This window comes from Homo sapiens, chromosome 11 (assembly GCF_000001405.40).
Source record: "Homo sapiens chromosome 11, GRCh38.p14 Primary Assembly".
NCBI classification, from domain to species: domain Eukaryota; kingdom Metazoa; phylum Chordata; class Mammalia; order Primates; family Hominidae; genus Homo; species Homo sapiens.
This window is the reverse complement of record NC_000011.10, coordinates 57,859,920-57,887,611: the sequence shown is the minus strand read 5'-3', so window position 1 is coordinate 57,887,611 and position 27,692 is coordinate 57,859,920. Positions and strand designations below refer to the sequence as shown.

At 43.8% G+C, this 27,692-nt stretch overlaps 1 protein-coding gene and 1 pseudogene across 1 annotated transcript, besides 2 other annotated features; both read left to right on the top strand.

Moving 5' to 3' along the window:
* Window positions 1-17,017: 17,017 nt before the first annotated feature.
* Window positions 17,018-17,289, top strand: LOC107984365 (cytochrome c oxidase subunit NDUFA4-like). The gene has a single exon (XM_047427966.1). It carries the CDS (start codon window positions 17,041-17,043, stop codon window positions 17,287-17,289), a length of 249 nt encoding a protein of 82 aa, XP_047283922.1. The 5' UTR covers window positions 17,018-17,040.
* Window positions 18,362-18,887: an enhancer, noted in NCBI's record as "OCT4-NANOG-H3K27ac-H3K4me1 hESC enhancer chr11:57636197-57636722 (GRCh37/hg19 assembly coordinates)". NCBI's record gives its function as "activates a minimal SCP1, AML or CMV promoter by ChIP-STARR-seq in primed H9 embryonic stem cells {active_cell/tissue: H9 hESC(primed)}" and the evidence as "EXISTENCE:reporter gene assay evidence [ECO:0000049][PMID:30033119]".
* Window positions 18,888-19,412: an enhancer, noted in NCBI's record as "OCT4-NANOG-H3K27ac-H3K4me1 hESC enhancer chr11:57635672-57636196 (GRCh37/hg19 assembly coordinates)". NCBI's record gives its function as "activates a minimal SCP1, AML or CMV promoter by ChIP-STARR-seq in primed H9 embryonic stem cells {active_cell/tissue: H9 hESC(primed)}" and the evidence as "EXISTENCE:reporter gene assay evidence [ECO:0000049][PMID:30033119]".
* OR5BA1P (olfactory receptor family 5 subfamily BA member 1 pseudogene) lies at window positions 20,332-21,310 on the top strand (annotated as a pseudogene).

The following is a 27,692-nucleotide window of genomic DNA, read 5'->3' as shown; positions in this document are numbered from 1 at the left end:
AGTCCCCATGATTTTTTAGGATCCACAGAGATACAGAAACCATAGGTTATCTGTGTCTTCTTGGCAGGTGCACCTAACACAATGCTCTGTACATATTAGGTTATAAAATTTGTTTAATTTTTGAACTGAGAAAATTTCATAGAATTTATTTTCTTGGTAGCTAGTAAATTCTCTAGTATTAAAGGTGTCTGAGCAGAGACTTGATGCCCACCTATGAAGGTTGTTGAAAAAGGTGAATCATGCATTAGTCAATGCCTTTTAGAGTGGTCCTCAATGTCACTTGAAGCCCTGTGATCCTACATTTCTATAAAGTTTAATCAGATTAGATTGAATTGAATCCTCTCAAACTCTCAAATTTTAGGCCTAGCTGCCCCTAAGCCTAATTTGTTTTTTAAGATGGAGTTTTGCTCTTGTTGCCCAGGCTGGCATGCAATGGCATGATCTCTGTTCACTGCAACTTCCGCCTCCCGGGTTCAAGGGATTTTCCTGCCTCAGCCTCCCAAGTAGCTAGGATTACAGGCATGTGTCACCATGCCTGGCTAATTTTGTATTTGTAGTAGAGATGGGGTTTCACCATGTTGGCAAGGCTGGTCTCGAACTCCTGACCTCAGGTGATCTGCCCACCTTGGCCTCCCAAAGTGCTGGGATTACAGGCATAAGCCAATGCACCTGGCCCTGAGACCTAAGTCTAAGTCCTCTTGTAGCCTTCTCTTGCACCAGCACCAACCAATGTTTGGTTATCCCTCCCATCTCTAATCCCCAATCTTTCATTTGGAGCCTAATCTGGGAAAAAATAACAACCTATCAGATTCTCTTATCCTGTACCCTTCCTGAGACACCATCAGTCAACTTTCAATTCACTTGTTGGTTCCTTTCATTTCTCCCGAAGTCATTTCCTTCAGCCAGTTATTTATTGGTTATTACTTCCGCCACATATTTATTCAACCAATAAAAATTTATTGAGCACCACTGTGTATCCTGTTACGTGTTTGGAGCTATCTAGAATACTGAACATGCAAACAGGCCGGGCACAGTGGCTCACGCCTGTAATCCCAGCACTTTGGGAGGCCAAAGCAGGTAGATCTCTTGAGGTCAGGAGTTCGAGACCAAACTGGCCAACATGGAAAAACCCCATCTCTACTAAAAATACAAAAATTAGCCAGGTGTGGTGGTTCACACCTGTAATCCCAGCTACTTGGATGGCTGAGGCAGGAGAATTGCTTGAATCCAGGAGGTGGAGGCTGCAATGATCCAAGATCATGCCACTGCACTCCAGCCTGGGTGAAGGAGTGAGACTCTTTCTCAAAAAAAAAAAAAAAAAAAAAAAAAGAACGTGTAAACAGCAAACACTTTGGTCCCTGCCCTCCATAGAGGCTAAACTGCCACATGTTTAGTAATTTTCAAAATGAGCTTAAGGCAGTTTATTACCAAGAGCTAAGTGGCATATCCAGTGTGAAAATGCTGTAGGATTTCAGAAGAAAGAAATACTACTTTCAGTTAGGGTGGTCTGGAGCAAAGGAAGTTTAAATTAGACATTTAAATATGGGAAAGATAAATCTTGACGGGGAGGAACAAGAAGAAGACAGGAATTAGAGCAGTGTGTTACATGCAAGGGTCTGACTGGATGGAGCACAGGGGAAACCTACGCTGACAGACATGGGAGATAAGACTGATATTTTTTATACAGAGTAGGAGGCAGCTATAACCATGTTTCTGAAAGCTGTCATCCTCAGCATTACAGTCCTGGAGGCTGTGACCCAGCCCCATTAACACTAGGGGCTATTTACGACTGAAGTAGGAAATGTGAAGTCATCAACCCTGAAAGCCTCATTCCAGCTACTTCCTACACGCAGAACCTTCCTAGGAATGAAGCATGTGTTGGCAGCAGCAAGCATCATTTGCAGGAAGGTCAGCAATCAGCCAGCTGGAAGGGAAGATGGGGTGGGACGTGGAGATTTGAGTGAGAGGGTAGATGTAGGTGGAAGGTTGAGGTGACAGACTGTGAGAAGGGTGGAGAAGAGGAGGTGTACCTGAGATATTGTTAGGAAGCACAGACATGTTGAGATAAAATTACTTGCAACTTTGTCTGCAGCACTGTGCTATTTCAGCACCCTTGTGACTGGACAGCACTTTCCCCCTTTGGCCACTCTGAGTCTGTTATGTGATATCTTCTTCCAACTCTACTTCTGATTCACCTTTTCCCTATTCTTTCCAATGGCCATCTCCACTGCCCTTTACCATCCTCAGCAGGCTGCCTGAATGAATTACTGTCATCTCCTTGGAGATGCCTGCATTTAGCAACCCAAGGAAAATCTATTCTACTAGGATGCAATCAAATGGGTTGATTTTTTTGTCTTTGTTTCCTGGAAGACAAAACTACATTTGGCAATTTTAGTGAATCTAAATTGCAACCCATAATCAGTATAAGCTATCATTCACTGGGAGCTAACTAGGTGCCAGGCACTATGCTGATCTACATACTGTGCATGCTATTTCTTGTTTGATTCTCACAACATTCCTTGTGAGGTAGGAATTTTCAACTCCTCTTTACATAGATGAGGAACCTGGCAATCACAGATATTATGTAGCTTATCCAACACTATACCACCAATAAATATCAGAACCAGGATTTATACCTGGTTTAAGTGATTTCCAAGGCCAAAGTGTGGACAACAGGATTTTAGGTGAAACACAAGTTAACAAATGTATTTCAATAGTTATTGTATTAGTCTGTTTTCACACTGCTATAAAGAACTGCCTGAGACTGGATAATTTATAAAGGAAAGAGGTTTTAATTGACTCATAGTTCAGCATGGCTGGGGAGGCCTCAGGAAACTTACAATCATGGCAGAAGGCAAAGGGGAAGCAAGGCACCTTCTTCACAAGGCAGCAGGAATGAGAACAAATGCAGGAGAAACTACCAAACACTTATAAAACCATCGGATCTTGGCCGGGTGCAGCAGCTTATTCCTGTAATCCCAGTACTTTGGGAGGCCGAGGCAGGTGGATTACTTGAGGTCAGGAGTTCAAGACCAGCATGGCCAACATGGTGAAACCCCTTCTCTACTAAAACCACAAAAATTAACCAGGCTGGTGCGTGCCTGTAGTCCCAGCTACTCAGGAGGCTGAGATGGGAGAATTGCTTGAACCCGGGTTGTAGTGAGCCGAACTCATGCCACTGCACTCCAGCCTGGGCAACAGAGCAAGGCTCTGTCTTAAAAAAAAAGATCTCATGAGAACTTACTCACTCACTCACCATCATGAGAACAGCATGGGGGAAACCACCCTTATGATTCAATTACCTCCACCTCGTCTCTCTATTGGGGATTATGGGGATTACAATTCAAGATGAGATTTTGGGTGGGGACATAGCCAAATCATATCAGTTATACATTTATTTTAGTATGCATTAAAGATACAACTGTTGCATTACATCCATGGACTTTAATGAAATTGGCAGGTCTAGACTTAGTTTATTTTTAAATAAGTTGGATTTTTTAAATATTAAGTAAATATTACAACTAGAATGAAAATTGGCAAAAAATATGACTGACTTTTGGAAAACACTGCACTAGGCTAGACTTTGCATATTATTGAGTGATATTTCTGAGAATTTACCCAATCCCCAATCTTGCAAATGCCACTATAGCATATAATTTCCCTATAAAATGCATAGTCAACAAAGGCACACTGATATGCAAATGCTAGGGGTTCTGCTAAATGGACTCACTAGGAAAGTGACTCATTGCAAACACCAGTGGGGCAGTGCAGATGGTTGAAATTCATAGCTCAGCAAAATTGCAAGTTTTCTTTCTGAAAAATCTTCAAGGTTAATTCGGTGAGTTCCTAGAGTCCCTTGTAATCAGCTCTCACCAAGTACCTATTCCTACTTCATCTATATTGATGTCTCCCAACCTGGAATTTTGGAACTTCTGGAGATCCATAAAGATCACAAGAGAGGTATCTTAGATCTAATATTAATATCTCCAAAAGCTGATGAAAGTGACACTTTAGTAAAGCAACACAGGCTAATTAAAAACATCAAGTGTTGCTGTTTATAGTTGGAATAACATAAACTCTATGCAGTAATTCTAATTATTTTTTTCTTTTTTAGAGACGGAGTCTTGCTCTGTCACCCAGGCTGGAGTGCAGTGGGGCAATCTTGGCTCACTGCAAGCTCCACCTCCTGGGTTCACGCCATTCTCCTGCCTCAGCCTCCTGAGTAGCTGGGACTACAGGCGCCCGCCACCATGCCCAGCTAATTTTTGTACTTTTAGTAGAGACGGGATTTCACCATGTTAGCCAGGATGGTCTTGATCTCCTGACCTTGTGATCCACCCACCTCAGCCTCCCAAAGTGCTGGGATTACAGGCGTGAGCCACTGCACCCGGCCTAGTAATTCTAATTTTTTAATTTTTATTCAAAACCTGGTTGGTAGTTAGTCTTTAATTTATAAAAATGAGAACTGCTCAGGTAAGGTGGCTCATGCCTGTAATCCCAGCACTTTGGGAGGCCAAGACTGGAGGATCACTTGAGACCAAGAGTTCGAGACCAGCCTGGGCAACGTGGTGAGACCTCATCTCTACAAAAAAATTTTTAAAGTTAGCTGGGCATGGCGATGCATGCCTATAGTCTCAGCTACTGGGGAGGCTGAGGTGGGAAGATCGCTTGAAGCTGGGAGTTAGAGGCGGTAGTGAGTTGTGATTGCATCACTGCACTACAGCCTGGACAACAAAGCGAGACCCTGTCTCAACAACAACAAAAAATGGGAGCTGCATTACATTAATAAGTGTTTTCGGAGGCAGCCACAATATTTCAGTATATGAAGTTTACAGAATATACTGCTTTGAGGTGAAAGGAGAGAGCCACTCTTGTAAATGATTCCAGGTTTGTTACCTATTAATGTCCTATTTTGTGCTGCACTTTGCTCTATCCAAGGATTTTTTGTATGTAAGAAACAGAAAACTATTCAAGTTGAGCTCAAATAAAGAGGAGGTGTACTGCAAAGGCAGCACAATCTTTCAGATGCTAAACACATCAGGCTTCCTTAGGACTTGGATCTGGCTTGTATGTGGGAGGCTGTCAGGGATGGAGCCTCCATGCATCTCCCTCTTACTGGAGGTGAATGATGTTGTATCTCTGCTTCTTCTTGTATGCCTTTCCCCATCTCTTCACTGCAGTGTGGCCCCCTCTGCTTAGCCATGGTTTCTGCTCCCCACTAATGCAGCTTACACATGGTTCTGGTTGCCATGGTGCCAGCCCCTAGCCTGATTGAAATGGGCTTCTGAGTTTAGCCACCACAAGCACATTTGTTCCCCAGATTCCTGGGAAAGACCAGTTTGGAGATGTCCATTCCTGGTCCAATAAGCCATGCCCAGAGAGGGAGCCATGACATGGTACTCTAGACTATACCTAAGTGGCAGCCTAGACTATATCTCAAACTGAAATGAAAGAGCAGTTCCCAGAGAAAGGGGCTATGGACAGGCAGGCATCCCAACACACATTCACTACAAGCTTTTATTTGCAAAAGATATCAAGTCTTCTTGGAAATGGTCACTATATAAATCTTAAAGAATAGTAATTAATATTAACAAGGAACTCATCAGATATTTATTGAGAACCTGTTATGGGCAGCTGTGTGGATGCTACAGTCTGGTTAGGAGGGAAAAGGATATACACACACATAAATGAAAAGTATGTAATTATTGACGTAAGTGTGGCCCCACCAAAAAGCAAGACAGGAAGTCACTAAAGGGAGGAACCAGAGATCAGAATTGCTTGGCAAGCCCAGCACTTCCCCCTCTCAGCCTATTCCTACTGTTTCATCTCGCGGTGACCACCTTTCCTCTCCACCTCTCTTTAACCTGTATCAATGCAAACCCTACCTCCCTACACCACCCCCCAAAAAATCTTTCCTGATTAAACCAGCCAGAAGTAATTTCTGCATTCATAGAACCTTTCACAGCACTTCTAAGCACTTCTTTTAGGGCACTTAAACCTTTGTGCTGTTCATTATATAATCATTGAAGTACAGTAATATCTCTTCTACCAGACTGTAACCTCCTTGATAATAAAAACCATGATAGTCAAAGGACCTAGGGCAGCTCCTTGCACATGGTAGGCATTTAATTAATATCTATCACATTAATTAATGCATAAAATACCTGCATATAAGCATGAATAAGCAAACAGTAGGTATATGTAGGTAGGATTTGAACATGTGCTACAGAGAGGATATTCAAGGTAAGGTAAGAGAAAGTTTGTTTATTTATTTATTATTTATGTAGGCAGAGTCTCACTGTTGCCCAGGCTGGACTATGGAGGGCAGTGGTGCGATCTCAGCTCACTGCAGCTTCCGCCTCCTGGGTTCAAGCGATTCTCATGCTTCAGCCTCCTGAGTAGCAGGGATTACAGGCATGCACCACCACCCCCGGCTAATTTTTGTATTTTTAGTAAAGACAGGGTTTCTCCATATTGGCCAGGTAGGTCTTGAACTCCTGGTCTCAAGTGATCCACCTGCCTCAGCCTCCCAAAGTGCTGGGATTACAGGTGTGAGTCACCACGCCCAGTCAGATAAGAGGAAGTTTTTGTTTTTCCTTCACAGTGACAGCAGTTTACATGTAGACACCAAATTCATCCAGGGCACATTTTTCTGAGCCTCACCTGGTATCAGTAGATTAAGTAACCATGCTTGTCTTTCTTACCAATCTAAGCCCACTGTTACAGACTCAACAAAAATGTCCACCCTTTCTCTCTTGACTGCATCAAACTATAGAGGCTTGATAAGCCAATTGCTCTTTCCCAGGCCCTTTGTGGCTAGAAGTGATCATATGATATACATCTGGCCAATGAGCTTTAGGAGAAATCAGCCAGCTGGTTCTTGGCTTCTGCAGAAGACATTTCCTGACAAGACCACTGCAAAACTTCTTGTAAACAAAGAATAAATATTCTTACAGCTTAAGTCACCTTGCTTGAGTTTTCTGTCACTTGTAGCTGGACAAATGTAATAGACCCATCTAACAAATATTCCATTAATTCAGCAAGTTATTCTTTTAAGCTCCTACTAAAACCTAAGCCCTATTCTCTTCTCACCTTACACAAAGTTTGCCATCCTCGCACATACTCTATTCTTTTTTCTCTCTTTATCTATTGGGAAATATTGGTCCTTCCTCTCCTCTACTTTACATTTTGTGGGTCCATGAGAAAACACCTGCTTAATTAATTCATTCTATTCCAAAATAGAGAAGGAAGGCAATTAGACTTAACCCATGCTTTACAAACTGACATGCCTCTCAGGTGAATCTTTACAACCACACTTTGTGGTATTTTACGCTCATTTTGCAAACAGAAACCTTAGGCTAATTGTAACCGAGGTAAATGTGATGAAGCCAGATTGTCTTTACCTGTTTAATTGCAAAAGCCATGCTCTTTCGGCCTCCTTGGGCTCTCTCCCACCTACTCTCACTTCCATATAAATTGGCTTCTTTGGGCTTATGCTGTTTAAACAATCAACAAAGTCCACACATTCACCTCCATTTCTATGTCTGTATTTGTCCTTCACAGTCAGCACTTGGTTATCAGCATCCATGGGAAGACAGCAGTTGCACAGATACCCCAAACATAACTCAGTCTCAGAAACCCACAAGGTAATGTGTTTTGACAGCAGATTTTCCTTCTAAGTGCTTGTGGAGGCTAACACTAAGAAAAACTGGAGCTTTCTAAATACTCATCCAACGATGGCAAAGTAAAAAAGCCCAGGCTGAGAAAGGCAGCCACCTGGTAGGGTTAGAAATGACAGCAGGTGGGTGCCGGGCGCAGTGGCTCACACTTGTAATCCTAGCATTTTCGGAGGCCGAGGTGGGAGGATCACCTGAGGTCAGGAGTTCAAGCCAGCCTGGCCAACATGGTGAAACCCCATCTCTACTAAAAATACAAAAATTAGCCAGGCATTTTGGAGCATGCTTGTAATCCCAGTGACTCGGGAGGCTGAGGCAGGAGAATCGCTTGAATCCAGGAGGCGGAGGTTGCAGCAAGCTGAGATCATGCCACTGCACTCCAGCCTGGGCAACAGAGTAAGACTGTCCCAAAAAAAAAAAAAAAAGAAATGACAGTAGGTGGGGTAGTAGGCCCCATGTAGACAGTGGGAAGTTAGCTACACAATTGTATGTTCAGACTCTGAACTCAGAAATTAATACAGATCAAAAGAAAAGCCATGCTCTTTTGACTTTTTCTAAGGAAACGAGGGAGAAGAGGAGGAAGAAACTAGCAGCAGCTACAATTTACTGAGTATCTGCAATGTGTTCCTGTTCTCTCACAAGTAGTCTATCATTTAACTCTTACAGCAAGCCTGGAAGTCAGGAACCATCACATCCTCTCTTTTTAACATAGAGTTTATCATTTTAACCATTCAAATATACAATTTACAATCTAAGTATATTGCATACAATATAGATTGTACATATACAATTTAAGTGCATTCACAATATTGTGCAAGCATCAACACTGTCCCTTTTCAGAATCTTTCATCATCTCAGACAGAAACTCTGTACCTATTAACAACTTCCCATTCCCTCCCTTCTTCCCCCAGCCCCTAGTCTACTTTCTGTATCTATGAATTTGCCTATTCTAGTTATCTTGTATTTGTCTGTTCTTGCACTGCTATGAAGAAATACATGAGACTGGGTAATTTATAAAGAAAAGAGGTTTAATTTGCTTACAGTTCTGAAGACTGTACAGGTAGCATGGCTGAGAAGCCCTCAGGAAACTTTCAATCATGGCAGAAGGTGAAGGGGAAGCAGGGATGTCTTACATAGCTGGAGCAGGAAGAAGAGAGGTGCCACGCACTTTTTTTTTTTTTTTTTTTTGAAATGGAGTCTCATTCTGTCACCCAGAGTGCAGTGGCACTATCTCAGCTCACTGCAACATCTGCCTCCTGGGTGCAAGCGATTCTCATGCTTCAGCCTCCCGAGTAGCTGGGATTACAGGCGGGCACCACCACACCCAGCTAATGTTTGTATTTTTAGTAGAGACAGGGTTTCACCATGCTGGCCAGGCTGGCCTCGAACTCCTGACCTCAGGTGATCCACCTGCCTCAGCCTCCCAAAGTACTGGGATTACAGGTGTTAGCCACTGCGCCCAGCCAGATGCCACACACTTTTAAACAACCAGATATCATGAGAACTCACTCACTATCACAAGAACAGCAAGGCAGAAGTCCTCCCCCATGATCCAATCACCTCCCACTACGCCCCTCCTCCAACACTGGGGATTACAACTGGACATGAGATTTGAGTGGAACACAATTCCAAACCATATCATTGTATAAGTGAGATCATGCAACAGTTGTCCTTTTGAGTCTGGTTTACTTCATTTAACATAAAGTGACGGTTCACACACGTTGTATGTAACCAGATACATACTATATACAGTGGAACACTCTATGGTAAAATTATAGTTAAAATGAATGATGAACTATAACTATGTTATTAGCATTGGCTGGGCATGGTGGCTCATGCCAGCAATCCCAGCACTTTGGGAGGCCAAGGTGAGAGGATTGCTTGAGGCCAGGAGTTTAAGACCATCCTGGGCAACAAAGAGACACCCCATCTCTATTTTTTTTAATAACTATATTAACATCCTGAAGAGTTCTTCAAAATATTATGTTGAGAGCAAAACAGCAAATGGCAAACTAATATGTAAACTCTGGGATTAAATCATAGTTCTTCCACTTTCTAACTGTATATAACTGTGGAATTTACTTCTCTGTGTCTGTTTTCCATCTGTAAAATAAGAATAATAATTGGACCTAATGTTGGTGTCGAGGGACTAAATGGACTTAATATGTACCTTTGCCTTAAAAGAGTGCTGGCACCAATAAATGCTCATGATTATTATTATTACTTATAGATTCACATCAGTAGTAAAATATAGACTTGCTAAAAAAAATTATTCTAAACGTGGAAATAATGGGAAAAGGTGTGGGATGTCCTTTCAATATCATATGGGGACATTATTTAATAGATTTAATAGGTCCACCAAGGGTAATTCAGGAGAATATACTTGATTTGACTCACTGCTTCCTATTGACTAAAAGTCTCAAATTTAGTGAAATTACATGTTAACTTACACATTCTTGTTCAGTAGAGATGCAAATAATTTCTGTCTTATAGAAAAGATAGCCCCAAAGTTTACAGTTTATTGCATATAGGACAAGAACCACTTGAATATCCAATCCAATATCTTATTGTTTTAATTTTTTTGAAAATTATGCTTTCCTGCACTGAAGGATACAAGCCAAATTTATGATAATGGTTGTCTCTCTAGCAAGGGAGAGGCATAGGACTCGGGTAGAATACATAGGGATTTCAATGACCTGTAGTGTGTTATCTGATTAAATATTTATGTAAGGCTGGGCATGGTGACTCATGCCTGTAATCCCAGCACTTTGAGAGGCTGAGGCGGGAGGATCACTTGAGGTCAGGAGTTTGAGACCAGCCTAGACAACATGGTGAAACTCTGTCTCTACTAAAAATACAAAAATTAGCTGGGCATAGTGGCACATGCCTGTAATCCCAGCTACTCGGGAGGTTGAGGCATGAGAATCACTTGAACCTGGGAAGTGGAGATTGCAGTAAGCCAAGGTCACACCACTGCACTCCAGCCTGGGCAACATAGTGTGACTCTGTCTCAAAAAAAAAAAAACACCTTGTAAACTGGGCACAGTGGCTCACGCCTATAATCCCAGCACTTTGGGAAACTGAGGTGGATGGATCACCTGAGGTCAGGAGTTCGAGACCAGCCTAGCCAATATGGTGAAACTCCCTCTCTACTAAAAATACAAATATTAGCCAGGCATGGTAGTGGGCATCTGTGATCCCAGCTACTCAGGAGGCTGAGGCAGGAGAATCGCTTGAACCTGAGAGGCGGAGCTCGCAGTGGGCCAAGATCGCCCCACTGCACTCTGCTTGGGTGATAAAGTGAGACTCCATCTCAAATAAATAAATATGTATGTAGGCCAGGCATGGTGGCATGTGCCTGAAGTCCCAGCTATTCAAGACGGTGAGGAGGCAGGAGGATCGCTTGAGCCCAGGAGTTTGAGGCCAGTCTGGGCAACAGAATGAGACCCCATCTCTGAAAAAATTTTTTAATACAAATAAAAAATAAACATATTTGAAACGTATAACAAAAATATTCATGTTTATTAAGTCAAGTGGTAGACACATCTAAATCTTTGTGTTTTCAATTAAAAAAAAATTACCCAAAAAAATCAAAGTAACAAAGTACTGAAGCTTCTTGTTAGGGCAAGACAAAAAGCTCTGTGCATTCATTTATGCCAAATTATTGACCAGGCACTCTTTGACAGGATGATGGGACCACATAAAGATTTGTAGACTGGAATCCAAGAGACACGGGTTACAATTTTGAGTCTAGAACTAATTAGTTGTATGACCCTGGGTAAGTCACTTCTCATTGAACACCAGCTTTATTTCCTGTTAAGATGAGTGCTGAGCTGGGCATGGTGGCTCACGTCTATAATTCCAGCAGCACTGAAAAATTATGTGCATACCACTCCACTTATGAATTTTCTTTCTTTCTTTTTTTTTTTAGTCAGGGTCTCCCTATGTCACCCAGACTAGAGTGCAGTGGCACAATCTCAGCTCACTGCAACCTCCACCTCCTGGGTTCAAGAGATTCTCTCACCTCAGACTCCCAAGTAGCTGGGTCTACAGGTGTGCACCACCAAACCCGGTTAATTTTTTTGTGTTTTTAGTAGAGATGGTGTTTCGCCATGTTGGCCAGACTGGTCTCGAACTCCTGGCCTCCAGTGATCTGCCCGCCTTGGTCTCCCAAAGTGCTGGGATTACAGGCTTGAGCCAGTGAGCCCAGCCTCACTTAGGAATTTTCTTTAACCCAGTTCCAAACTGAAAAAAAACTTCAGTATAAGGAATTGCAACAAAGTTTTAATTTTTCTATGATGCTTCGATGTTTTTAAAAATTACCATTAAAAGGTTCAAATATATACCAAAGCAGACAGTATAATAAACTGACTTCCATGTACCTATCACTCAGCCTCAACATTTATCATTTTATAATCAGTTCTTGCTTTATCTTTCCACTCTTCCCAGCCAGATTATTTTAAAGCAAATTCCAACGTTCTATCCTTTCCTGGTGCTTTTTAAAAAAATGTCCAAATGAGTCTTTTTTTTTTTTTTTTTTTTTTTTTTGATGCGTCTACTTTGCTGGTGCCCCAAGCATGTTCTTGGTCTTCCCATGTTCGGGACTCCAATCCTGCCTCAGGCACTGCTGTACCGTCACATCTCAGCTGAGAGCCCGCCGGACTGGATACTGTGTAATTCCCTTTAGCTGGAACAATCCATTATTCACAGAACCACAACCACCAGCACTCCAGTAGCCTCAGCTGAGCTCCTCGAGACGCAGTCTCAGGACAGCGGAGTCAGCTGACACAAGCGTAAGGAGGAACCCACCCTCCCACCACAAAGCGCTGTCAGAGAGGGAGGAAAGGAGGAGAGAAGCAACAACTGGGAGATGATCAGTCTGTGTGTTCGCTCCTGGTAACAAATCCCTTGGCTCCTCCTTATGCCCATCAGCATTTCCTGTGCTTAGAAGTTAGCTTCATTTCTGGAAATATCATCTTTTTATTTTTTTATTTTTTGTCTTGTTTTTCCCTTGGATTTTGAGATGGAGTTTCGCTCTTGTTGCCCAGGCTGGAGTGCAACGGCGCGATCTCGGCTCACCGCAACCTGTGCCTCCTGGGTGAAAATGATTCTCCTGCCTCAGCCTCCCGAGTAGCTGAGATTACAGGCATGGGCCACCACACCCAGCTAATTTTGTATTTTCAGTAGAGACGGGGTTTCTCCGTGTTGGTCAGGCTGGTCTCGAGCTCCTGACCTCAGGTGATCTGCCCGCCTCAGCATCTCAAAGTGCTGGGACCACAGAAGTGAGCCACTGCACCCAGCAGCATTTTTTTTTAAATATCATATTTTTTAATTGCTAATATAAACTACCCATTCCATTAACAAGGCCCCTAGTGCCTCCTCCGATGAGTCCCCAGTGGGTGAAGCCTAGAGAGCTTCCTGGAAGGGCCCCAGAGTCCCTGCCCTAGTGTGCTCCCAGCTCCCCTCAGTGCTCCGTCACTGCTGGGACCCAGCCTTGAGCAACAGTGACGGAAGTTTATGACGCAAAAAGGGACTTAGCTCTAGCCCTGGCCCTAACCCTAGACCACTCTCAGCTCCTTACCAACCTCTGAACTTAGTGTCCCCGATTTGTTTGATCAGTATTGAGGCCCACAACAGACCCTCAATGTTCAGCAAAGAAGGCCCCTTGGGTCATTTAGTCAAAAACCTCATAGACTGTCCCCCAGGTTCCTGTAAGCTCCCAAGGGACAAGATGACTTTTCCTCGTTCAGACTTCAGAATCCAAGGAGGAGGCAGGACGTCTCCTACCGGCTCGTGCTAAGACTTTCTACTGCCAAGAACGGAGTGACAATGGCTAGGCATCATGGCTCAAGCCTGTAATCCCAGCACTTTGGGAGAATGAGGCAGGGGAATAGCTTGAGCCCAGGAGTTCGAAACCAGCCTGGGGGGCAACATAGGGAAATCCTACCTTAAAAAAAACTAGAACGACAAACTCCATCTCCTCAAGGAGATCCTAACCCCCCTATCCCCGCTGTGCCTCAAGAACAAAACAAATGCCTGAAATCTAGAGGGAGAGATAATCTCTTCTTCCCTGAGGCCTGAACCTCCCAGGTAGGGAGGTGGTGTGTTTCAAGGACCTTCCAGAGCTCTAAGCCTCCAGAGCCACCAGAGATCAAGAGGAGATGAAGCCAGCTTTATAAGCTCTGGGCAGGACCAAGATGCAACCGTAGCTTCAGTCCTGAATGCCACATCCTGTTTGCCTGAGCTGTGTGTCTTATCAAGTCTGAATGTGTGGCTACCCCAGGAACAGCTTTAGAGAGGAGAAATTGAAGATACAGGCTGGAGTGGAAGGGAGTCCCAGAACTACCCCTACGTGGCTGGCCTGGGAGGATCTTGAGTCCCCCCAGCCATCTTGAGGTATATCGGGCTGGGGAGCACCATCTGCTAAGGTTGGTATTTTTCTATTGCAGATTTTACTGCGTTCCACCAGAGCTGATTCAGAAGGCTGAGGTTGCCTGTTCTCTTCCCCTTCCCTTCAAAATCCACACCCACACCATCCCTTACTCTGTCAGCCTTTAAGCATTTCCTGAGATCCCATGGTATTCAACGGTCTTGAGCAATGTTTTCCAGCTCCCCATTCATCAGGTACGCATAATCTAACTTGGTGGAAGTTAATGTACATCAGGTACCTACCTTGTTTCCAGAAGTGTGCTGAGTACAACATTGACACGCATTGTCTTTCAATCCTCACAGAAACTGAGGCTCAGAGAGGTTAAGTAACTCTGCCAAGTTTCCTGACCCCTTCCAATGCACCTTTTGCCCGGTAAATGTTTACTGAGGTTAATTCCCAGTTCCAGGTGATCGCACTTCCCCATCTCCTCCAACTAGCAACACCTTTCTCATTCCTCAAGGCTCAGCCCCGTGCCTCCTGGTCCTGAAGTCTCCCCAGAGCACCCCAAGCTGCAATCACCCTTCCCTCAATGGGTTCCTGCTGGCAGTGGGCTCCACCCAACTTCACTCGTTTTCATGGAAGCAAGTGTGTCTCTTAACAAAATTTTAAGATCTTAAGTGGCCACAGCCGTGTCTTATGCTATTGTTTAAATACTTTGAACAACTATGATGGTTTAAATACTTTGAACAACCATAATTGTTTAAACCCTTTTGAACGACTGCAATTGTTCAAATATTTTCAGATTATAGTAGTTGTTCAAATAGTCACTGACAGCTTCTTATATAGCTTAAAACAGCCTCTGCTCTCAGAAGTTATGTGATAGGGAAGCAAAGCAACACCATGCAGGAGGGAAGAAAGACTTAGAAACATTGACAGACCCTGTTACACAATTCTAAATATGTGTGTGAGTAAAAATCAACTGCCAGATGACAACAGCACACAAAACAAGGACTCACTGGGGAAAGGGAAGTCTTACTAGAAGGACTGAGGGATGGCATTGCGGGATTATAGAGGAAGCCGGAAGGGATGATAGAGGAGACCTGGAGGGATGATAGAGGAGACCTGGAGGGATGCTAGAGGAGACCTGGAGGGATGCTAGAGGAGACCTGGAGGGATGCTAGAGGAGACCTGGAGGGATGCTTGAGGAGACCTGGAGGGATGATAGAGGAAACCTGGAAATACTCTGCACTTGGGAACCTCAAAGTACACCTGGAAGGCTGTTGCCGAGGTCACAACAATTGAGAATTATTAATAGGTGTGTCTCTGAAGGAATCAAATGGCCATATGGAAGTTGAGATGGGAGCAGTGGAGGATTAGGAGGGAATGCAGTACTGGGCCGTGGGAAGATGGTGGAAGAGAGGGATTGGGAAGGTAAACAAGAAACATTATTTGCTGGATTCCAGGAATTCAGCCTAAATATATGGCTGGGCATGGTGGCTCATGCCTGTTATCCCAACACTTTGGGAGGCCAAGGTGGGCAGACCACCTGAGGTCAGGAGTTCAAGACCAGACTGACCAACATGGTGAAACCCTGTCTCTACTAAAAATACAAAAATTAGCCAGGCATAGTGGCACGTGCCTGTAATTCCAGCTACTCAGGAGGCTGAGGCAGGAGAATTGCTTGAAGCCGGGAGGCAGAGGTTGCAGTGAGCCGAGATCATGCTGCTGCACTCCAGTCTGGGTGACAGAGCGAGACTGTCTCAAAAAAAAAATTGTTTTAAATAATAATAATGCTGAGTATGACTTTGTGAATGTGCGTGCCTAAGGGACTGGTCTGTCATCCTATCAGAGAAAAATGAAAGCAATAATACTCATTGTAGATCAGAGACTCGTGGACATTTAGATTTGAACAGAAGGAAACCCCTAAGAAAGGTAGAAAAGAATAAGCGTAAATGATACATGGGGCATCTGGGTGGAGAAACTGGGGCACAGGCCAGGAGGCTGACTGTGCTAGGTTGAACGTCAAGGGTGAATCACGGATAGGATTCTGCCACACCACCAGGACCCTGACTTTTGAGATCACATATTCTGACCTTTCCAGTAAATAGACGGTCATTCTGCGAAGGGCATGGAATGTTTCTTGAATTCTCCTACAGTCACATAATCACAGGCCCATCTCTGGGAGGGAGGGAGGAGAGGCAGCAAGGGCGGAGGCAGGGTCTTGGAGGTTTCAGTAGCCGGCTAGTTCTTCTAAGGCCACAGTCTTCAAATGAGGGTTGGTAGCCCTGAGGGTAAGTGAAGACTCTTCAAAGGGTTCACAGGCAAGACCTTCTAAGGGCACCGGTTTCCAGAACCTCAATGTCCATATCTATGCTTTCCTAAAACTGACATGCTTGAGAACACCTCTGTGATGAGAATGCTGGACTGTCTCTCATCTCCCCCTTCACAATTGCCCTTCTCCCACTTTTGAAAAGAAATGCATGCTTTTTTTTTTTTGCTTTTTTTTTTTTTTTTTTTGAGATGGAGTCTTGCTTTGTCCCCCAGGCTGGAGAGCAGTGGCTTGCTCTCAGCTCACTGCAACCTTCACCTCCCAGGTTCAAGCGATTCTCCTGCCTCAGACTCTTGAGTAGCTGGGATTATAGGCACACACCACCACGCCCAGCTAATTTTTGTATTTTTAGTAGAAACAGGGTTTCACTATGTTGGCCAGGCTGGTCTCCAACTCCTGACCTCAAGTTATCCACCCTCCTTGGCCTCTCAAAGTGCTGGGATTATAGGCATGAGCCACCACACCCAGCCAAGAAATATATGCTTCTAACCTATGCTGAATCTTATGAGAAGGCATCTCACCAGCATATGCAAATTTCCAGAATACCACACGAAGATATAATTTGATAACTAAGTATTGAAAAAGTAAATAGAGATACTGCTTAGTCCAGAGCCTATTAGCTAGGCTTGTTCTCTCCTTTCGAATCAGAGGTTTCTGCTGCAGACATGCCCCACCAGACCCTTAGTCAGACCAAGAAGAATCCGAGTTTGATATCCTGCTTCATATTTATTGGAGCTGGGAGTACTGGAGCAGCATGGTATGTCTTGTGTCTGGCATCTTTCAGTCCAGATGTTAGTTGGGCCAGAAACAATAACCCAGAACCCTGGAACAAACTGAGTCCCAATGATCAATACAAGTCCTACTCAGTGAATGTAGATTACAGCAAACTGAAGAAAGAAGGCCCAGATTTCTAAATGAAATGCTTCACTGTAAAGCTGCTTAGAATTAGGATCTTCTAGACGCCATCCACACACTTTTCCACTTAACCAGGAAATATTTCTCCTCCACAAACATGAAATCATGCTGGTGTACTGCGTTGGACATTACACTGATGAATAAATAACTGAAACGTGAAAAAAAGGAAAGAAAAAGCAACTAACTTTAGAATGCCTACAAAATCCCTTTTTTGGCTTCTTGTAGAAGGAGCCTTATACTTAACTTGGTATTTGATATAGTTTGGATGTTTGTCCCCACCAAATCTCATGTTGAAATGTGGTCCCCAGTGTTGGAGGTGGAGGCTGGTGGGAGGTGTTTGGGTCATAGGGGCTGATCCCTCATGAACGTCTTGGTGCCATCCCCACGGTAATGAGTGAGTTCCTGCTCTGTTAGTTCACACAAGAGCTGGTTGTTTAAAGGAGCCTGGCACCTCCTCCCCATTCTCTCTTGCTCCCTTTCTTGCTGTGTAACACACCTGCTCCCCCTTCCCCTTCCTCCATGAGTAAAAGCTTCCTGAAGTCCTGACCAGAACAGATGCTGGGGCTATGCTTTTCAACCTGCAGAATCATGAGCCACATAAATCACTTTTGTTTATAAATTACCTAGTCTCAGATATTCCTTTATAGCAACGCAAAATAGACTCACAGAAAATTCGTACTGAGAAGTGGGGTGCCTCTATAAAGATACCTGAAAATGTGGAAGTGGCTTTGGAACTGGGTAATGAGCAGAGGCTAGAAGAGTTGGCAGGGCTCAGAAGAAGACAGGAAGACGAGGGAGAGTTTGAACTTCTTAGAGACTGGTTAATGGTTGTGATCAAAATGCTAATAGAAATATGGACAGTAAAGGCCAGACTGACAAGGTCTCAGAGGGAAATGAGAAATTTATTGGAAACTGGAGTAAAGGTCACCCTTGTTATGCCTTTGCAAAGAGCTTGGCTGCCTTGTGTTCATGCCCTAGAGATTTGTGGAAGGTTGAACTTAAGAATGATGACCTAGGGAGCTGGGTGCAGTGGCTCACATCTGTAATCCCAGCACTTTGGGAGGCCAACGCAGGAGGTTTGCTTGAGTGCAAGAGTTTGAGAATAGCCTGGGCACCCTAGTGAGACCCTGTCTCTAGAAAAAATTTAAAAATTAGCTAGGCATGGTGGCACATGCCTGTAGTCCCAACAACTTAGGAGGCTGAGGTGGGAGGATCTCTTGAGCCTTGGGGGTCGAGGCTGCAGTGAGCCATGATCGGTGCCACTGCACTCCAGCCTGAGTAACAGAGTGAGACCCTGTCTCAAAAAAAAAAAAAAAATGATGATGACTTAGAGTATCAGGTAGAAAAAATTTCTAAGTAGCAAAGCATTCAAGATGTGGAATGGCTGCTTCTAACACCTATGATGACATACTGAAACTTACTAAAATGTTAGTGCAGTGTAAAAATTTGGAAAATCACAACCTGGCCATGTGGCAGAGAAGAAAAAAGCATTTTCAGGAGAAGCCAAGAGGGCTGTGGAGCAACCACTTGCTAGAGAGATTTGCATGAGTATAAGGGAGGCAGGTGCTAATATCCAAGACAATGGGAAAAAGGCTTTGAAGCCATTTCAGAAATCTTTGAGGCAGCCTCTTCTACCACAGGCCCAGAGGCCTGGAGGGGTGGGGGGAATGGTTTCAGGAGCAGGGCCCCAGTCCATGCTGCCCTGCTCAGCCTCAGGACACTGCTCCCCTAATCCCAGATGCCACGGCTACAGCTACAGCTGTGTTTCAGAGGGCCCCAGGTTCAGCTCAGGCCACCATTCTAGAGGGCACAAGCCGTAAGCCTTGGTGGTTTCCATGTGGTGTTAAGCCTGCAGGTGTGCAGAGTGCAAGAGTGAAGGAGGCTTGGAAGCTTCTATCTAGATTTCAAAGGATGTATGGAAAAGCCTGGGTGCCCAGGCAGATGCCCCATGCAGGGGAAATGCCCCCACAGAGAGCCTTTACAAGGGCAGTGTTGAGGGGAAAGATGGTGTTGGAGCCCCCATACAAAGTCTCCACCAGGGCACTGCCCAGTGGAGCTGCAGGAACAGAGCCACTGCCCTCCAGATCCCAGGATGAGCCACTAGCAGCTTGCAAACTCAGCATGGAAAAGCCACTTTAACCCATGAGAACAGCCATGTGGGCCACACCCAGCAAAGCCACAGGGGTGGAGCTTCCCAAGGCCTTGGGAGGCCACCCCTTTCACCAGGATGCAGGACATGGAGTCAAGGATGATTGTGGAGCTTTAAGATTTAATATCTGCCTTGCTGGGTTTTGGACTTGTGTGAGGCCTGTTGCCCCTTTCTTTTCAACAGTTTCTCCCTTGTGGAATGAAATATTTACCCAATGCCTGTACCACTAATGTGTCTTAGAAGTAAGTTACATGGTTTTTTATTTTACAGGCTCATAGGTGGAAGGAACTGGCCTGGAGTCTCAGATGACACTTTGGACTTTGGACTTTTCAGCTGATGCTGGTACAAGTTAAGACTTTGGGGGACTATTGGGAAGGCATGATTGTGTTTTGCAAGGGGAAAGGAACATGAGATTTGGGGGGCCAGGGGAAGAATGCTATAGTTTAGATGTTTTTCCCCTCCAAATCTCCCCAGCGTTGGAGGTGGGGCCTGGTGGGAGGTATTTGGGTCATGGGGGAAGATCCCTTGTGAATGTCTTACTGCCCCCTCCATGGTAATGAGTGAGTTCTTGCTCTGTTAGTTCATGCAATAGCTGGTTGTTTAAAGGAGCCTGGCACCTCCTGCCCTCTCTTGTGCTCCCTTTCTCACCATGTGTCATGCCTGCTCCCCCTTCGCCTTCCACCATGAGTAAAAGCCTGCTGAGTTCCTGACCAGAACAGATGCTGATGCCATGCTTGCACAGCCTGCAGAACCAGGAGCCAAATAAATCTCTTTTCTTTATAAATTTACCCAGTTTCAGATATTCCTTAATAGCAACACAAAACAGATTGAAATTCTTCCTCATTGTACCTTGCACAGATGTAGACGTGCTCAAGTAATACTGTTTGAGTGATTGCCAACTGTAACCTCTGCAGATGACACCTGGAGAACTAGCCCTTGCCAGTGGCAACCACACCCCAGTCACCAAGTTCATCTTGCAGGGATTCTCCAATTATCCAGACCTCCAGGAGCTTCTCTTCGGAGCCATCCTGCTCATCTATGCCATAACAGTGGTGGGCAACTTGGGAATGATGGCACTCATCTTCACAGACTCCCATCTCCAAAGCCCAATGTATTTCTTCCTCAATGTCCTCTCGTTTCTTGATATTTGTTACTCTTCTGTGGTCACACCTAAGCTCTTGGTCAACTTCCTGGTCTCTGACAAGTCCATCTCTTTTGAGGGCTGTGTGGTCCAGCTCGCCTTCTTTGTAGTGCATGTGACAGCTGAGAGCTTCCTGCTGGCCTCCATGGCCTATGACCGCTTCCTAGCCATCTGTCAACCCCTCCATTATGGTTCTATCATGACCAGGGGGACCTGTCTCCAGCTGGTAGCTGTGTCCTATGCATTTGGTGGAGCCAACTCCGCTATCCAGACTGGAAATGTCTTTGCCCTGCCTTTCTGTGGGCCCAACTAGCTAACACACTACTACTGTGACATACCACCCCTTCTCCACCTGGCTTGTGCCAACACAGCCACAGCAAGAGTGGTCCTCTATGTCTTTTCTGCTCTGGTCACCCTTCTGCCTGCTGCAGTCATTCTCACCTCCTACTGCTTGGTCTTGGTGGCCATTGGGAGGATGCGCTCAGTAGCAGGGAGGGAGAAGGACCTCTCCACTTGTGCCTCCCACTTTCTGGCCATTGCCATTTTCTATGGCACCGTGGTTTTCACCTATGTTCAGCCCCATGGATCTACTAACAATACCAATGGCCAAGTAGTGTCCGTCTTCTACACCATCATAATTCCCATGCTCAATCCCTTCATCTATAGCCTCCGCAACAAGGAGGTGAAGGGCGCTCTGCAGAGGAAGCTTCAGGTCAACATCTTTCCCGGCTGAGCCCTGCAAGGTGACTTGTTGGAATGAGGAAGGTATAACATCTTCCAAAGCACACTATGAATTAACGTAACCAATCAAGAGCAGCCCTGGTTTTGGAGGAGATAGAAAAAGTAAATGAGAAACAGCAAATATATCTTGTACAGACCATTACAGTTTATAAAGCATCTTCTTACCCATTATCATATCAAATTCTCACCACCATATTGTGAGGCACCCTTTGTTACAATGATCCCATTTTACAAATGAAAGATACATGACTCAGAAAAAATAAATTAATTACCTAAAGTCATGCCATGAGTGAGAGGGTGAGTATCTAAAATCAGGGATTTCACATCACGACCAGAGATAGTTCAATTACACCACGACCACAAGTTGAGTCTTTATTGGCAGCTTATTGTAACTTCCAAGAAACATCAGACAAGGTGCAACACAGTCATTTCTGTTTTGCCACTGATTTCATGAACTGGGAATGGGCAACAAGTGACTTAGTTCTTTTTTCCTGCTCTAAAAGGAGAGATAACCAGGATAGAAATGTCCTTATTTCTTATTGCAACCACATTTTGCTGAACTGTTCCATGATAACCTCCGGATCCAGACAGATCTTTTCTTGTACGTCTGTATCTTAGCCAAATGTGTGTGTGTGTGTGTCTCATAATTCTCAAGGGTTTGGTGGCAGGGGGACGTGTATGATGATTAGGCAGTTACATCATTATATTAGATACTGTGCTTTGGGAAACTGATGTTTTAAATGTTTATATTTGGCCTATTTTTAAGTGTACATGTATATGGTGAGCACATGTGTTTTATAGAATCACACAAATGATGAAGCTGACCTTGAAGACCTAATTCAGGGTTGAGCACTGGATTAGAAAGCATACTCTTAAACCAATGCAAAGTCCTAATCTGAATGGAGTTGGTTTCAGCCTGAGATTTTTGGATTACTAAAAAGCTTTTTTTTTTTTCAGATATACCTCAAGACAATTATTCTAAATACAGAAAATCTTACTATACAAATAGGTCTATCATAGCAGCACACGTGAAAATGAAAAATTGGTAATGACCTAAATGTTCAAAAGAGAAAAGGATTAAATAACTTATTCCCTAGATGTATTATAACATCAACCATTACAAATTATGCTTGTGAAGACTATGTAATAACATAGAAAATAGCAGGCCAGAACATCTAGAGTGCAATCACAATAATCTAACAGAAACAAGAAGCCTAAAAATACAAAAAATGTACATTATAGTATTAAAGGAGGAAAAATGTTTTTCTATTTTTCTCAAACATTTTCCAAAACTTTTTTAATTAGTTTTTTGTTTGTTTGTTTGTTTGAGACGGAGTTTTGCTCTTTTTGCCCAGGCTGAAGTGCAATGGCGTGATCTCAGTTCACTGCAACCTCCGCCTCCTAGGTTCAAGTGATTCTCCTGCATCAGCCTCCCAAGTAGCTGAGATTACAGGTGCATGCCACCACACCTGGCTAATTTTGTATTTTTAGTAGAGATGGGGTTTCACCATGTTGGCCAGGCTGGTCTTGAACTCCTGACCTCAGATGATCCACCCACCTCGGCCTCCCAAAGTGCTGGGATAACAGGCATGAGCCATGGCGCCCAGCCTAATAAGCATGTTTAATTTTGATACTTTGTTCTTGTTACTAGTGGTGAATCCATACAGCTCTGTAGCAAATTTGATCCTTGCCTCCTTGGAGGGAAAGAATTCAGCTGAGGGGCAGATGTAGGGTTAAGGAAGAGAGAGAGACTGAGGCAAGTTTTAGAGCAGGAGTGAAAGTTTATGAAAAACTTTTAGAGCAGGAATGAAAGGAAGTAAACTTCGAAGAGGGCCAAGTGGGCAACTTGAGAGATCCAGGTGCCTTGATCAACTCTTGACTTGGGGTTTTATTACATTGGCATGGTTCTGGGTCTTCTTTTCTCCTCCTTTGATTCTTCCCTTGGGGTGGGTCGTGCACATGCTCAGTGGGCCGCCAGCACTTGGGAGGGGGGCCACATGCGCAGTGTGTTTACTGAAGCTGTAGGCATGCTCACTTGAGGCATTTTTCCCTTGCCAGTTAAGTGTTCCTGGAAGAAAACCACACAGGCCGGGCACAGTGGCTCACGCCTGTAATCCCAGCACTTTGGGAGGCCAAGGCAGGCGGATCACAAGGTCAGGAGATCGAGACCATCCTGGCTAACACGGTGAAACCCCATCTCTACTAAAAATGCAAAAAATTAGCCAGGTGCGGTGGTGGGGGCCTGTAGTCCCAGCTACTCGAGAGGCTGAGGCAGGAGAATGGCGTGAACCTGGGAGGCGGAGCTTGCAGTGAGCCGAGATAACGCCACTGCAGTCCGGCCTGGGCGAAAGAGCGAGACTCCGTCTCAAAAAAAAAAAAAAAAAAAAAGAAGACCACACAGCAATTAAACTTCACCATTTTACCTCTTAGCATGCATGCATGAGCCCACTCACCCAACTCCTGACATCTTATGGGGAAGCTGCTGATCATCAGCTTCAGGTGTTTTTTGGGGGGGTAGGGGTTTAGGTTGTTTTGTTTTGTTTTGTTTTGAGATGGAGTCTCACTCTGTCACCCAGGCTGGAGTGCAGTGGCACAATCTCGACTCACTGCAACCTCCACCTCTTGGATTCAAGCGATTCTCTTGCCTCAGCCTCCTGAGTAGCTGGGATTACAAGTGCACACCACCACACCTAGCTAATTTTTGTATTTTTAGTAGAGAAGGTGTTTCGCCATGTTGGCCAGGCTGGTCTCAGACTCCTGACCTCAAATGATCAACCCACCTCGGCCTCCCAAAATGTTGGGACTATAGGTGTGAACCACGGTGCCGGGCCCACGTGTTTTCTATTGGAAGACTGTCTCTCCCTGGCACTGGCTGCAACCAGTTATTACTTTAGAGAGACAGTTTAACAACCCCCTGACCATCACTTGATGCTTGCCTGACATTCCTGGAGGGGGGACCTGTCTTGCCCTGATCATGTCTGCCTAACTACCTACCTACCTACTACCTACATTCTAAAAATGAACAATTTAAAAATCCCTTCCAGGAAGCTGAGGGTGAAAATTTCTCATTTTTGTCTTCTTTCATTCAGCAAATCTTTACTAAATTCCTCCTATGCTCCACCTACTTTTAACTTATAAACTAAATTTTTAGTACATTCAGTTGAAGTCAGGACTAGAATCTTATGGTAAAGAGATTTAGTAAAAATTAATCTAATTCATTCATCTCGAAAATATTTATGTGGCAATTAGGTGTAACACAATGTGGTAGGCCCTAGCTTGACAGTCAGAACACCTATTAGGCAGATTGCTTATGCCATAGTAACAAACAAACCCCAAATGTCAGTGACTTCATACCACAAAGCTTTCCACCTATGCTAAATTTGAGACACATCAGGTGACTCTCAGGGAAATTTATCCATCCAGTGTCTCCACATCTGAGCCCCTCTCATCTTGCAATCCTGCCATCTCACCCTTTGACCTCCAAGATCTTAATGGTGGGGGAAATGGTCAAGGTCACACAGCATTTTTAAGCACCTGGCCTGAGGTTGGCTCACATCACTTTGACCCGTGTATCATTGGCCTGAAACCAGTCTTACAGCTAATATATGGCAAAGAAGGCTGGGAAATGCAGTCCTTTTTTCACCCAGAGGAGGAAAAAGAAATGAGATTTAGTAAATACATAGCTTTGTGTGTCACTGGCCAACTGGACATTTGATTAGACCATCATCTGTAAGAAGTAGTAAAACATCACTGGAATAAATCAGAAATAAGGTACTGGTTAACTCATGTTTCTACATAATTGAGGTAGACTGTTTCTTTGGGTGGACATTTTAAAACACTCCTTGCCTGGACTGACCTATCTCTGTTCAGCATTTTTTGAATCACATGCCCAAGTTGTATGGTGCCACTACAGGCAGTAAAACTAATGATGAGACCAGTCATTTGATGGCTGCCTGAAGCTTCACGTCACAGTTACCTCCTTGAATTATAAAACTAAATAATGTACAACATAGTGGTATCTACTAAGAGTGATTTTATCTAAGTTTAACCCCATAATCTATCACCCAAGAAGTGGTACACACACAAACACATACTCTCATGAAGAAAGAAGAAACTACAAAACAAAAACGCATTGGAAAGCATGAAAGTCAGATAAAAATACAAAAGTTGAATGTGCATATCATGTGGCTCAACTGTACAATTTTAGCTAGTAGACTATAAGTTGCTATCCACCTCAACTATATAAATATTGAATAAATACTTACAGGCTTTCAATCTGAGAGTGATAAATTATTATCCTGCCCCATCCACTGTTATATCTTCTATGTCTAGAATAATACCTGGCACATGGCAGGCACTCAATAAACATCTGTTCAATAAATGAGTGAATGGGTATCCACATGATTGTTTTCCTTGGACTAGCAGCACTGTCATCACCTGGGAACTTTCAGATGTAGAATCTGGGGCCCCACTCCTGACCTGCTGAATAAGAATCTGCATTTTGGCTGGGCGCAGTGGCTCACGCCTGTTATCCCAGCACTTTGGGAGGCCGTGGTGGGCGGATCACCAGAGGTCAGGAGTTCGAGACCAGCCTGTCCAACATGATGAAAGCCCGTCTCTACTAAAAATACAAAAAAAAAAAAAAATTATCCAGGCATGGTGGCAGGTGCCTGTAATCTCAGCTACTTGGAAGTCTGAGGAAGGAGAATAGCTTGAACCCGGGAGGCGGAGGTTGCAGTGAGCCAAGATCTCACCACTGCACTCCAGTCTGGGCGACAGAGTGAGACTCTGCCTCAAAAAAAAAAAAAAAGAATTTGCATTTTAACATGATCCCCATATAATTCGCATGCACGTGAAAGTTTGAGAAGCACTGAAACATATGACTCAATCTAGCCCTAAATTTGTGAACAAAGTACGCAATTCTTCTCCTTCCAGAGCTCACAGTTTAGGCCGGGAGAGTGTTCTTAGCAGAGGGAAAAGCATAGCAAAGACCAAGAAGTGAGAAAAGAACAATGTGTCCTCTTCCCTGATCCTCTTTCACCATTGCATGTGATCTACATTAAAATGAGCATTAGGAGGAGAATCAGCATTAACAAAGTCATCATGTTACCTAATGTGGGAAGTGGGATGATAGGAAGGAATAGGTCACTATGGGAATAGTGACCTCTCCCCAGCAAAACTGGCCAAAGTGATATCTAAAAGTAAACTAAGTAATTTTGATAATGGCAAAAAAGTTAAGCAGTTCATATGAGTTCTCACAGCTAGTAAAGATATGAAGGACCTGGTTAGCTAATAAACATGAAAATCTCATTTTTTGAAGTAGCAATTAAAAATCTCAAGATACACTTTCTTGGCTTTTGGTAAGCAATGTGGTTTGTTTTTGTTTAATTTTTTAATTGACGAATAACAATTGTACATATTAATGGGGGCACATACTGATGTTTCGATACACATAATGTACAGTGATCAGATCAGGGTAATTAGCTTATCCATCACCTCAAACATTTATCAATTGTTTGTGTTGAGAATGTTCAATATCCTCCCTCTAGCTATTTGAAACTATATATTATTGTTAACTATAGTCATCCTATAGTGGTATAGGACACTAGAATTTATTCCTCCTAACTAGCTGTAATTTTGTAGCCTTTAATCTCTCCCTATTCCTCCCTTTTCCCTACCCATCCCAGCCTCTAGTACCCTCTGTTCTACTTTTTACTCCTATGAGATCAACTTTTTTTAGCTTCTACATATGAGTAAGAACATATGGTTTTTAACTCTCTGTGCCTGGCTTATTTCACTTTACATAATGTCCTCCAGTTCCATCCATGTTGCCAGGAATAACAGGGTTTCATCCTTTTTTATGGCTGAATAATATTCCATTGTGTATACATACCAATTTTCTTTATCCATTCACCTGTTGTAGAACACCCAGGTTGATTCCATACCAAAATACACTTTTACAGCCACCTAATCTCCAAAAAAATCTGACCAGCCCAGTGTTAGTGGATGTGGAATGTGGGGTGGGGTGTGAATTGGATTGACCACTTTCAACAACAATTTAGCATCAAAATAAACATTGAAGATATATATACTCTATGATCCTGCAGTTCTATTCGTAGGCATATAATCTAAAGAAGTTCTGGCACATTTGCACTGTAAAACATGTACCAGAAATTTGTTTGTCATAGCAAAAAAGTGAAAGCAACCAAATGTCCATCAACAATAGAAATTCATGCATAAGATAGGCCCTATTCATGGCCAAGCGCGGTGGCTCATGCCTGTAATCTCAGCACTTCGGGAGGCCGAGGCGGGTGGATCACCTGAGGTCAGGAGTTCGATACCAGCCTGGCCAACATGGCGAAACCCCATCT

Coding starts and splice junctions, on each gene's coding strand:
- LOC107984365 (XM_047427966.1), top strand. CDS start 17,041: ATGCCCCACCAGACCCTTAGTCAGACCAAGAAGAATCCGAGTTTGATA.